This window comes from Homo sapiens, chromosome 10 (genome assembly GCF_000001405.40).
Source record: "Homo sapiens chromosome 10, GRCh38.p14 Primary Assembly".
Taxonomy (NCBI): Eukaryota; Metazoa; Chordata; class Mammalia; order Primates; family Hominidae; genus Homo; species Homo sapiens.
In genome coordinates this window covers 62,177,202-62,190,613 of record NC_000010.11, presented here as the reverse complement: position 1 = coordinate 62,190,613, position 13,412 = coordinate 62,177,202, and the positions used below count along the sequence as shown (strand labels likewise).

At 40.7% G+C, this 13,412-nt stretch overlaps 1 protein-coding gene across 4 annotated transcripts in view, besides 1 other annotated feature; it reads left to right on the top strand.

Moving 5' to 3' along the window:
- RTKN2 (rhotekin 2) overlaps nt 1-6,714 on the top strand; it is an 84,945-nt gene extending 78,231 nt beyond the window's left edge. For 2 of the 4 annotated variants that reach the window (XM_017015844.3, XM_011539457.4), the window contains one exon: nt 6,227-6,714. In XM_017015844.3, coding sequence (XP_016871333.1) covers nt 6,227-6,292 — 66 coding nt within the window. In that variant the 3' untranslated portion in view covers nt 6,293-6,714. Of the gene's footprint in view, nt 1-711; nt 763-6,226 lie in introns of those variants that run through there. The other 2 variants (XM_047424717.1, XM_011539460.3) reach the window with 1 other exon arrangement.
- Nucleotides 9,960-10,129: an enhancer, noted in NCBI's record as "experimental_13605 CRE fragment used in MPRA reporter constructs". NCBI's record gives its function as "activates a minimal promoter by MPRAs in K562 erythroleukemia cells, with activity observed for the introgressed 10:63940329 variant allele {active_cell/tissue: K562}" and the evidence as "EXISTENCE:reporter gene assay evidence [ECO:0000049][PMID:34662402]".

Here is a 13,412-nt window from a genome sequence, read left to right as displayed (position 1 = left end):
AGTTAACAACTGGGATGGCTACTGGTGTTTGTCTCAAATTGATCTAGACAGCCCTAAGTCCCTGAGTTGATGCCTTTGGAGGTGGCAACCAGTAGGGTGATGCCAGGCGAGGGAGTCTCTGGATCTCTCCTAATTCGGCCAAAGCAGCTCTAAGTTTATCTGTTTTATGTTTTAACCCCATGAGGTAGTATTTTAACAATCCCCATTTTACAGATTAGTAATTGGAGGCACAAAACAATTAAGTAACTTGCTCACAGTCTCCCAGTAAGTGGAGACAGGATTTGAACCTAATCAGTTATTGAAGAAAGTGCTCTCATCCTCAGTATACCAACAGCCTCTGATAAACGTGAAATAGCAAAAAAGCATTGAGACCAAGGTTTGCCAGACTAGCCTCCAAACTCTTTTTTCCCCAATAATGTGGTCACTTGATGTATTCCTTTGCATTAAAGCCCTAAATGAAAATCCATTTCCTTCGCAATTAGATCCAGCCTATATTATTCTGTGCATAATGCTTGGCCCTGGGTTGAAGGAACATTTGAGCATATGTAAACCTAGATAGACTCCACTGTCAGGCTGCAGAAAGCACTAAAAAAAATATGAATGAGAGGAAAAGATAAATTCTATCCAGAGACATCTGGGACAACTAGAAGAAGTGGTATTTGAACCAGACCTTGAAGTATGAGTTGGTTTTCATTAATTACATTTCTTTAGGTAGAAGGCAACAGAAACTAACTTAAGCTGAAAATGAAGAAAAAAAAAAAGGTGGGTGAATTTATTTATTTTAAGAAAAAAAAAAAATCTCTGTTGCCCAGCCTGGACTACAGTGGCGTGATCTTGGCTCACTGCAACCTCCCCTTCAAGCCAGGTTCAAGCCATTCTCCTCCCTCAGCCTCCCGAGTAGCTGGGACAACAGGCATGTGCCTCCATGCCCAGCTAATTTTTGTATTTTTAGTAGAGATGGGGTTTCACCATGTTAGCCAGGCTGGTCTTGAACTCCTGACCTCAGGTGATCTGCCCGCCTCAGCCTTCCAAAGTGCTGGGATTACAGACGTTTGCCACTGCACCTGGTGGGTGAATTTATTGATAGGCTATTGGAATCACTCAGAAGACTGAAGAATGCCTAGGAAAGGTTGACAGGAAAACTCAGGGGTCCTCAGCAACATCAAGATTGAAAGAATACAGTCTGTTCCTCTCCTAGCTTGTTAGAATGGCCTTTCAGAGTCATGAGTTGGACATTCAAAATGAATCACAGAACATAATTGCCTAGAACTATGATCTCAACCAGGGGTGATTTTTTTTGCCCACTACAAAACATTTGACTATGTCTGAGGACATTTTTTATCGTTGCAACTAGGGGCAGAAGTTGCTGCTTGTGTTTGGTGGGAAGAGAGCAGGGATGCTGCTAAACATCCTGTAATACACAGGACAAGATCCCCACAACAAATAATTATCTAGCCCAAAGCATTGGTAATGCCAGAGTTGACAAACCCTGGCTTGGAATACCAAATAATTACCATCTAAAATAACAAGTGTAGTTAAAAAAAAAAAAAAAAAAGTAGGAAATATGGCCGGGCGCAGTGGCTCACGCCTGTAATCCCAGCACTTTGGGAGGCCGACGTGGGCGGATCACAAGGTCAGGAGATCGAGATCATCCTGGCTAGCATGGTGAATCCCCCGTCTCTACTAAAAATACAAAAAATTAGCCAGGCGTGGTGGCAAGCGCCTGTAGTCCCAGCTACTCAGGAGGCTGAGGCAAGAGAATGGTGTGAACCCGGGAGGCGGAGCTTGCAGTGAGCCAAGATCGCGTCACTGCACTCCAGCCTGGGCGACAGAGGGAGACTCAGTCTCAAAAAAATAAAAAAATTTAAAAAATTTAAATATATATATAGAAAATATAGTGGGAATGAAAAGAAAGGAAAGCTCTTAGGAGACATTTGGGAAGGATTTTTGGAGGAAGTAACAGTTGAACTGGGTCTCGAAAGACGTAAGATTGATTGGGCTCCGCGGATATGGGAAAAAGCATTCTGAGCAGCAGGAACAGAATGAGCAAAGGGGTGAGAGCAGGATGGTGATTTAGAATACGTTCACGAACTCTCTGACACTCTTCCCTTCAAAGGTGGAGCTTAGTTCTCCTCCTATTGATTGTGGGCTGGACTTAGTGATTCATTTCTAACTCAGAGAATATAATGGAAGTGATACTCTGTGACACATGAGGCTAGGTCATAAGAAGATAGCACACCCTTGCTGTTTCCCTCTCTTGGATCACTCACTTAGGGGGAAGACAGTAGCTATACTCAGACAGTCCCGGGAGAGATCCATGTGGAAAGAAACTGAGGCCTCTCACCAATAACCAGCCCCAACTTACTAGTGAGACACCTTGACAGCAGACCCTCAAGTCTAGGCATGACTGCGACCTTCTGAGAAATTCCAAGCCAGAAACGCATGGCTAAGCCGCTCCTAAATTCTTGACCTGTAGTAACTGATAATAGGAAAATGAATGCATATTGTTTTAACCACTAAGTTTTGGGGTTGTTTCCATTGTAATTGATACCTTAAAAAGCATGAAAATATAGGGTCTACCTAAAAACTTGAAACTGTTTCATTTGTATATGGTTAGGGATTACTGAGAAATAAGGTTAATAAGGCAGATGTGGTCAGATCATGGATGGCCTTGAATGTCAGTCTAAAGTTTGCTTTTTTTCTGGTATGCTGAAGAAATTTGCCATATGGGCTTTAGTGGATTCAGATCACATCTCTGACAGATTCTCTCTGAGTAGTTGGGGCAGGGATAGCTACAGATAGTATTGGGGAGCATCCTCATAAATTGTATCTAGAAGAAGAAAAGCAGCCTGTAAATGCCACCACTACACGTTAAGTTCACCGAGGGCACAGGCCAGTTTTTTAGGCATGCTTTGTCAATATAAGTATGCTGAGAGAATCACACCTCACCTGACTTGATTTAAAAATTTCTAAAAAGGAAAAAAAAGTGGTTCACATATATCCAGGTCACTAATGTGACACTATTGACTTGATTTTTCTTGCCTAGCAGCTCTTTTGCAAGGGGAGGGTGACACATTAAATTGCATCCACCTGTGACATCTTAAGGTGACTGAATGTGTGTAATTCTCTTCAGTACACAAAAGGAAAGGAGAGGCCTGAGGGCTCTGAAGGGTGACACAGAGGGGTGAACAGATTGAAGGGAGGAAACTTTAGGGGCTTCAGGCAAACCTCATTTACATGTGTCCAAGGACTTTGAATGGAGTCCCTGATTTCTGCTTCCCTCTGAGGACTATTCAACTGAACTTTTTCCCTATGTTTTTTCTTTTTTTTTTTTTTGTGATTTGTGATGCCAAAAGTGTTCCTTAAATAGTCACTTACAAGAACAAAGCTGCCGTCATCTCTGAATCAGTCACTCAAAGGTTATCTGGGAAATCAGAATAGTGTGCCTGGTATACTTCAACATCTTTGTTGTATTAGGCAGCAAAGCAGCCCAAGAAATTAAGTTTAGTAAAACTTTGGAATAATTTGGAGATAATAATTCCACTTTAGACCGATTTCAACCCAGATCAATTACTAAAATAAAATGCTTAGGGTGGAGAACCCAGAAAGCTTTGGACTAAATGAACCACAAGTCTTATCAACACCAGTGAAAATAGTATGTTTAATTTTTTTGCCATAAACTTCCTGGGACGCAATCAATAACTTGTACTATTAATAAAATATTTTGGGAAAAATGTACTCAACCAACTTATTGCTAGTCCTCATCATATACAGGACTCTGCTAGTTGCCTGGGCATCTGAGGATGGAGGATGAAATTAGTTGGATTTATTCATAGGGTTTAGTTCCAGTGTCAGAAAAAAAAAATGTTTTTCTGACCAGTAACCAGCAGTAAAATAACCATTGTACAATGTCATACTTTTAGCAGCAGAATTGTATTTCCAAACAATAGTTTATGTAGACTTTTAATACATAAGACAGAGCCAAGTGGAACTACTTGAGAGCGGGAAGGGGTTGAGGAGCACTTGGCCTCCCACCATGCCTCTACCCCACCCCCACCCCAGCACTCTGAGAAGCTTCTCTATAGGACACACGTCTTCTGTCAAGGGGCAGAAAGCTACTTTCCTTATTGCTTTAATCTCCTTTTCATTCCGCTACTGCGTTCTGTCTTCCTCCGTGGTTGAAAAGTCTCCATATTTGTCATCTTCAAAACGAGATAAGGTTCCCTCATCAATCTTATTTTTAGTAAATCACCAGTTTAACTCACCTTTCTTTAGCAAAACCTAACTACATATACAGAAAGGAAACTTTTTTGGAACTTCTCACTCTCTGAATGCATTAAGTAGAAACATTAGCTGAATTGTAAAAAATGCCCCTAATGTAAAACAAAACAAGATGAAATGAAAGCATATACGTTAAGAATATGCAAGACTGAGAGCTCCAGGGCAGGGGAGCCAAGGCATGGAGCAAACAAAGGCAAAGGCACGATAGCCCAGCTCCCTCCCACGGCCCACACCATACAGTCTCCAGCCATTGCAGTGCTGAAAGCACACTGTCCTGGGTTCAAATCCTAGCCTTGCTACTTTCACCGACTGGCCTTTGGCAGTTCAACTTAACTCTTCTAAGGCCCAGGCCCTGTAAAATGGTAATCATAGGACCACTGCAAGAATTCAATAAGAGGTTATATATAAAACCGTAAAATTCCAAGAAAACAGCAAATAATCAATACATGTTAGCTACTGTGGCTATTACTATTATCCCAACCCCAGAGGTTGTTCTGGGCACAAGAAGCACCTGATATACTGTTTTGGAGACTCCCCAAATTGGGGTGGCTGCAAGGTGAGGAGTCAGCAGTCACATGTAACTGTGCCATGAATTCAGATGTCAGGTTAACCGGGTCTCTTCCTAAAGGAACCAAACCAAGAATTTTTTCCTTTGATGTCTCACCATGATTTGAAACTGAGTCAATGTCTTTGCTAAAAGCAATCTTTTTTTTTTGAGACGGAGTCTTGCTCTGTTGCCAGGCTGGAGTGCAGTGGCACGATCTCCATTCACTACTGCAACCTCCACCTCCCGGGTTCAAGCGGTTCTCCTGCCTCAGCCTCCTGAGTAGCTGGGATTACAGGTGCCCGCCACCACACCCAGCTAATTTTTGTATTTTTAGTAGAGACGGGGTTTCACCAACTTGGCCAGGCTGGTCTCGAACTCCTGACCTCATGATCTGCCCACTTCGGCCACCCAAAGCACTGGGATTACAGGCCTGAGCCACCGTGCCCAGCCTGCCAAAAGCAATCTTTGAATCAAAGCTGGAAGAACTGATGCAATCAATATTCCTTAGTTTGGGACTGACTTGGTGCCTGAGTACCAGTCAACTTGGAGGATCTGCCATACAAATTATGAGGGTTTTTTTTTTTTTAACTGTGGAGGTCCTATTTTTGATAGATTATAGAAATAAGGAGTGACAAGTCAAGCTGTCATGAGAGGAGAGTCATCTAAAGTTAGTACTGAAAACAGAAATTTGGCTGGCAAATTAGTTAGAAAAGGGAGGCAGAACAATGGGAAAATTTTTTGCAAGATTTCCTGGGAGTTGGGGATGGTGATGATGGCAGGGGCCCTGGAGTGACCGCTTACCAATTAGTGGTTTACCTGTTAACTTTGGCAGATGTTTTACCAGTGAATGGTAAGATTTCTAATTGAGCTTCAGGCAAGACTGTCTAGTGAAAACTATACTTCTATTTACTCTTCAGTAACTAACAAGGCCTGTTTTTTTCTTTACTTAGTTCTTATTTGAGATCTTGGTTAAGAAATTATAAAATATAAATAGAATATTAGCGACTTGGGTTATTTGGTTGTTGAGAAAGGGTTCTCTAGAGAAAATATAATTTCATAACTGCAGTACTTATTCAATTAGACTAGGAAGGCTCCTCAGAGGTAATCTACTTCAACCTCTTTCTGTAGGCGGAAGCCATGCTCCCAACCAATCATATTCATGAATATCCAGCCTCTGTTTGACATTATTCTTTAAGGTTGTTTGCTTTTAGAATTTTCAGCCCATTTCTTGTAAGTTCCAGTTCTAAGAAAGGCTTTTTTACATATTAAGACAACTCATTTTTCCTGAAACTTGCAATCTTTTCCACTGACTGCCTTTTGTGATTCTGATTGGTGGTGACTTTCTGGTTTTCTCTTTACCTCTGTGGGTGACTAAAGGTGATTTTTTTTGTTTTTCAGAATAATAGTAATCAACTACATAATCTCCAGAAACTGCCAGCAACTTCCAAATTCCTCTTCACATAGCTTCTCAAATACTTCATTAGAACCAGTGTGAAAAATTTAAAATACAATGTGACATTTCTCTAGTAGAATGTAAGCTTCATGAGGGAAAAGACAACGCGTCTCCTTCCTGTATTCCTAGCACCCAGTACGGCACCTGACACATAATAGTGACCTTAGAAGAATATTTAAGAGTCATTGAGTAAACATTTTGTAGAGCTGTCCATGTTTATTTTCCATTCAGTGTTTACCAGGTGTCTGCTATTTGGACAGTCACTTCATTGTTCATTAGTACATGACTTTGGTAAATATATCTCCTGTGAAGAGAAATATTATAACTACTATGGCATTCAACACTGGTATTTCAGTTACTCAACTAATCCACCCACTGATGGAGTGAACCTTGAATTAAATGCTTTGAAGAATAAAGTGAATCTTGATAAAAATCAAAGGCTGAAGAAATCTTGTTTGACAGAAGGCATGAACAAAAATGCTAAAATTAATACTGTTTGTGGAGAAACACTCATTCCACCGCAGACTAAATGGAGTTCATGAGTATCAAAATGCCTATGTGATCAAAAGGCAGAAACAGCTTCTTTTTACTAGGTCTGTTAATATTCCAGGACTCATAATATTGTGCCTACATGAGCACCTGTGTTTGTGGTAACTCAAAGTATTTGAACACCTTATCTCATCCAACCTCAAATTTCCTGTGAGGTATTTAAGCACCGAGAGCTCTTGGTACTGTTTTCAAGATGAAGCAGATGAATTAGAGAGGCTGTTCACACACCAAATTTCACAGAAGCCTATGGAGGAAATGACGGGGAGACTTACCAGTTAACACCCAGTTGCAGAAATCAATGTCAGAGCTTGAAAGGACCTTATAAACCCCTGATCCAATGTGGACTTTCCTAGTAAGACTTCTGTTTGCAGTGACTTGGTTCATTTCACCAACCACAAGAATTTTAAGTAATTTTTAATCATAAAAGTAACATAGAACATAGTAATACATATATACGTACATACATGATACAGAAAGGTATCAAAAAACAAAAACATATATTACTTCCTCCTCTAACATTCCAGTGCCAGTTTCCAAAGATTCCTATTACCCAGAGGTAACCACTGTTAATAATTTTTAATGTATATTTCCAAAAATTTTTTATGCATTTAGAAATGTGTGCATGTGGGTGATGGGTGCACCAAAATCTCAGAAATCACCACTAAAGAACTTACTCATGTAACCAAACACCATGTGGTCCCCCAAAAACCTATTGAAATAAATAAATAATAACATAATAAAGACTTAATAAAAAGTAAAATAAAAATGTGTACATGTATACATACACGCAATGACAGTTGGTCCTCAAATAACATCATTCCATTCAGTGTCATTTCATTATACTGTTGATTGGAAAAAAATTGATTTCTGCCCGGGGCCCCTGTCTGTGTGGAGTTCCCATGTTCTCCCCATGTCTGTGTGGGTTTTCTCTGGGTATTCTGGTTTCCTCCCACATCCCAAAGATGTGCATGTCAGGTGAATTGGTGTGTCTACATTGTCCCAGCCTGTGTGGGTGTGTGTGTGAGGTGCCCCCTGCTAGGGTATGGCGTCCTGGCCAGGGTGGCTTCCGCTTTGCACCCTGAGCTGCTGGGGTGGACTCTGGCCACCCTCAACCCTCATCTGGAATAATTGGGTAATAATTATCTTGTTTTTATTAATCTTTCTTAAAAGTATATATAGTTCGCATTTATTTCAGTGTTTAATATTAGAAGTGTTTTACTCTTTAGAAGTTTGGTGATGTTTTTGTGACCAGAAATATGCCATAGGAACTTAGCTCTTGTTTATATCAATTAGCCTGCAGTAATTTGGTTCCATTGTGTGTTTCCTTAAAGCTGAAGTTTCCAAGTACCTACTGATGACGTTAAGTGAGGACTTAACTTGTGTGTTGCAGCTCCTATTAAATTGCTGCACTTGGAAGCATAGTAGTCATTTCAAACTTTAAAAAGATCTTCTGCTATTCTGTTCCAATTCTGACCTTCTCACAGTTTTATTCATCTAGTAAACACCAACTCGATCCTTCCAGTTGCTCAGGTCAAAACCTTTAAGTCATCTTTGGTTCCTCTCTATCCAAAACACCATCTATCTAATTCACCAGCAAATCTTATTGAGTATATGTTAAAAATATCTCCAGAATCCAACCACTTATCACCATCTCCATTGCTTCCACCCTAACTCAAGCCACTAGCATCTGTTGCCTGAATTATTACAATAGCCTTCTAACTGGTCTCCCTACTACTACATAGCTTTCTACTGTCTATACTCAGGATAGCAGACAGAAGGATCCTGTGAAAACACAAGTCAGGTCGTATACCTTCCATGCGCAAAAAACATTCAAATGCTCCCCAGTTAATTCAGAGTAAAAGCTGAAGTAAAAGACTGTCCACAGTCTGCTGACCCCATTACCTATATGACTTAATCTCCTGCTACTCTAGAGAAACTTCACTCTCTTTGTTCCACATATACTGGCTTTTGCGCTGTCCTGAACATGCCTGGCATGCTCTTGCCTCAGGGCCTTGCACTTGCTGTTTCCTCTTCCTGGAATGCTCTTACACCAACTATCATCACTTCATTCAAGTCTTTTTTTTTTTTTTTTTTTTTTTTTTTGAGACGAAGTCTCACTCTTTCGCCCAGGCCAGACTGCTGTGGCGGTATCCCCACTCACTGCAAGCTCCGCCTCCCAGGTTCTCGCCATTCTTTTGCCTCAGCCTCCCAAGTAGCTGGGATTACAGGCGCCCACCACCGTGCCCGGCTGATTTTTTGTATTTTTAGTAGAGACGGGGTTTCACCGTGTTAGCCAGGATGGTCTCGATCTCCTGACCTCGTGATCCGCCCTCCTCAGCCTCCCAAAGTGCTGGGATTACAGGCGTGAGCCACCACGCCCGGCCTCAAGTCTTAATTTAAATGTAACTTTCTCAATCAGTCCTTCTCTAGCCCCTCTTAAAATTGCAACTCCATCCCCAAACTCACTCTGTATTCCCTTTCCTGCTTTTGTTTTCTCCTTAAAATTCATTTTTACTCATTTGTCTTTTTAGTTGTCTGTCTCTCTAAGGTAGATTATGTTTCTAAAGATGACTACAACATTAACTTTCATCCCACATGTTGTTTTCTAATGTGACATTGTCATTCTCCATCAAGAAATGGAGCCTATTTTGCCCTCACTTGAATCTGGGCTTCTGCCTTCCATCCTTGGGGTGCCTCCTCTTGGAAGTTCACAGCCATATTAGAAGAACAAATGCCCTGAGACCACCATGCTGTAAGGGGGCCCAAACTAGCCAGGTGAAGAAGAGGCCATGTACCAAAGCTCTGGACATGTGACTAAAGCCTTCTGGAACCGTCTGTGCCAACATCACCCATCAGCTGAAGGGAGTCAAGGAAGAGATCCAGTCAATACTAGATGGAACAGAAGAACTGCCAAGCTGAGCCCTGAATTCCTGACTCATAGAATTGTGATGAAATAAAGGTTGTTGTTTGAGGACACTATGTTTTGGAATAGTTCGTTAAGCAGCAATAGATTCTTGAAATATTCCTATACTATAATGCAAGCTCCACGAGGATAAAGATTTTTTATCGTTTTTGTTTTATTTTTTTGCCTGCTGCATCCCTGGTGCCTGCTGTAGTGCTCAGAACGAGGTAGGTGCTTGGTAAACATCTGTTGAATGAATGAATATATGAATGAAAGAGAGAGAGAACATAATGAAGAGAACATTACTAGTGGATCCATGTTTCTTTCCAGTGCCATGAAAAAATAGGATATGGAACCTAACTATGGCAGTAATAAGAGAAATTAGTGGCCATGGGCATGCTGCCTTGCAGGGCCAGCTTCCCAGGCTGGCCAGGATGCAGAGAACATTTGGCAATATATCTCAGGAAAACCAGTTTCACAGACATTGTCTTCAAACCTTTTCTTTTTGAGACATTAAATCAACCTTTTAATAAGCCAAATCATTGTCCTTTTAAGTATAAAGTAACACAGGCGCATGGTAAAATTTTATACAACACAGAAAGTTGTAGAAGGAAAAGAGTTTCATTTTACCCTGATGTTAACAGTTCCTTTGGTAGTAGTTAGAAAATGTCTAGGCATGATTGAGGCCTTAAGATTCATTCTATTTTGTTCTCTCTTTTTTCACTCTACATAGTATCTTAAAGAGAGTTTCCTAAAGGCATCTACAACAACAATTAGCTTTTACTTATTGAATGCTTACTATAGCTACTCTTGTTAGTCTGTGTAGTGTTACTATACACTACACAGGCCAGGCATGGTGGCTCACGCCTGTAATCCCAGCACTTTGGGGAGGCTGAGACAGGTGGATCACCTGAGGTCACAGGTTCAAGACCAACCTAGCCAACATGGAAAACCCCGTCTCTACTAAAAATACAAAAATTAGCCAGGTGTGCTGGCATATGCCTGTAATCCCAGCTACTCAGGAGGCTGAGGCAAAAGAATCTCTTGAATCCAGGAGGGGGAGGTTGCAGTGAGCAGAGATGGCACCACTGTATTCCAGCCTGGGCGACACAGTGAGACTCTGTCTCAAAAAATAAAACAAAACAAAAATAAAAAAATAAATACCTGAGGCTGGGTAATTTCTAAATAAAAGGGCTTTATTTGGTTTACAATTCTGCAGACTGTACAAGAAGCATGGTGCCAGCATCTGCATCTGGTGAGGGCCTCGGACTGCTTCCACTCATGGCAGAAGTTGAAGGGGAGACAGTGTGAGCAGAGATCACATAGCAAGAGCAGAAGCAAGGGACTGGGGGAGGTGCAAGGTGGGAAGGGCTGGGCACAGTGGCTCAAGCCTGTAATCCCAGCACTTTGGGAGGCTGAGGCGGGTGGATCACAAGATAAGGAGATTGAGACCATCATGGCCAACATGGTGAAACCCCGTCTCTACTAAAAATACAAAAATTAGTAGGGCGTGGTGGCATGCACCTGTAATCCCAGCTACTCGGGAGGCTGAGGCAGGAGAACTGCTTGAACCCGGGAGGTGGAGGTAGCAGTGAGTGGAGATAGTGCCACTGCACTCCAGCCTGGGCGACACAGCAAGACTCCATCTCAAAAAAAAAACAAAAAACAAAAAAACAAACAAACAAACAAAAAAAAAACCATCTCTGGCAGGAACTAATAAAGCCAGAACTCACTCACACACCCCTGGGGTGAGGACATTAATCTATTCATGAGGGACCCACCCCCATGACCCAAACACCTCCCATTAAGCCCGCCTCCAACATTGGGGATCAAATTTCAACATAAGATTTGGAGGAACAAATATCCAAAATATAGCAGCCACCATACAATAGACGATTTCATCTTCACAACAACCCAGTGAAGTCGATATCATCATTATTCCCATTTTATAGATGAGGAAACTGATACTTGAGGGGCAACGTAACTTGCCCAAAGTCAAACACTTTGAAAATGACAGATTCAAATTCTGACTCCACAGCTATGCTCTTAACTTTCTTTCTCTACTGCCTCTGTTACAGAAAGTGAACTCCTTATCTCTAAGTGCTGCATTGTTGTATTCCATAGCAATGACTGGACTAGCAACTCTGAAACAATCTTTTGTGCAATCTAGACTTGATAAATGAGTATATATATTGAGAATAGTGGAAGCCAGGTTTCTTACTGTTGGTAATGGAACTTGCATGTATGGAAAGGGGAAGACTAGAACATACACTGTAGTGTTGGGTTACAGTTGGAAGTATCACTATGGGCTAATTTTTTTTTTTACATATCTATCCTAGCTCTGTCCATCGAGAAGGCCTAGAAATAATGACATACCAGTAGCCATAAACATACTGAGCCCCCAGATCTTGGTTCTAAATACTATTCTCCAGTAAAAGGAACCAGAGATCCTTGACTGATTCTGGTTCTGGGATAGGGACAGCACATGATGAGCCTGGAATATCTTGTTGCTCCAAAAAATACCCTCAATAACCAAAGCTGGAAACACTTGAGCAACAAAATAAAGTATTATTGGATGATAACACAGAATGTAAAAAACTATTTTTTATCCATACTGATATAAATTGTTGAATAGGTAAATAATAGGAAAGAAGAATTCAAAATATGCAGATTCTCTACTATCAAGGAGGTGAAGCATAACTTCACTTCTTAAGCCAGTGCTTCACTTGGTGACTTCCTTTCAAAGAGTACAGTATGAAAAGGTAGGAAAAAAACCCAGTAGCTTCAGAATAGAAGAAGCTGACAAACACCATGTCAGGCTGGTGGGAGCTTTCAGTTGGCTCCTCTGTTCCTTTGACATGCCTCCATCAATGTGTTTTTATTTGAGCACTTCTTTTCTTTTTGGTAAAACAAAATACTCCAGGCTCCTCCTGTATATTTCCTCCCCCAATCCTAGAACCAGCCATTTCTCCAAAGAGCCCTAGTTTATTTTATTTCAAGAATGGTATTAGAAACCAAGATCTTGTAGTTTAGTGTGCTCATTTTTACTGGGATTTCATTGCTTCTAGCCTCTGCAGACAGAAGAAAATATATGTGTATATATGAATGTATATATTCATATCTATAAATACTTCTATCTATATTAAGCTAAACATGAGTTTAAACTGATGTCTTCAACTCTAAACCGTGACCACAAAGATCAGTCTAGCCCCCTCCCCTTGATCATCTGTAACCTCTCACTGGAACAGTGAAACACCTGGCTCCTACCATCCATTATCCATTTATGTAAAATTTCACTATATATGTATAGTGGTAGCCAACTTTTTTATTTTAGCCATTCTAATTGGTAGATAGTAGTATCTTCTAAAGGTTTCAGTTTCCATTTTCCTTGTGATTAAATATGTAGAACATCTTTTCATGTGCATTCTTCCCATCGGTATATCTTCTTTGGTTATATATCTGTTCAAATCTTTTGCTCATTTAAAATTAGATTTTTTCTTCTCATTATGTTTCAGAAGTTACTTGTGTACTTTGGATTCATGTCCTTTATCAGATATGTGGTTTGCAAGTATTTCCTCCCAGACTTTCGCTTATTTGTTCACTCTCTGACCAGTGCTTTTAATTCTGATGAGATCAGATTTATCAGAATCTTGGTTTTTATTTTATTATTTTACGAACCA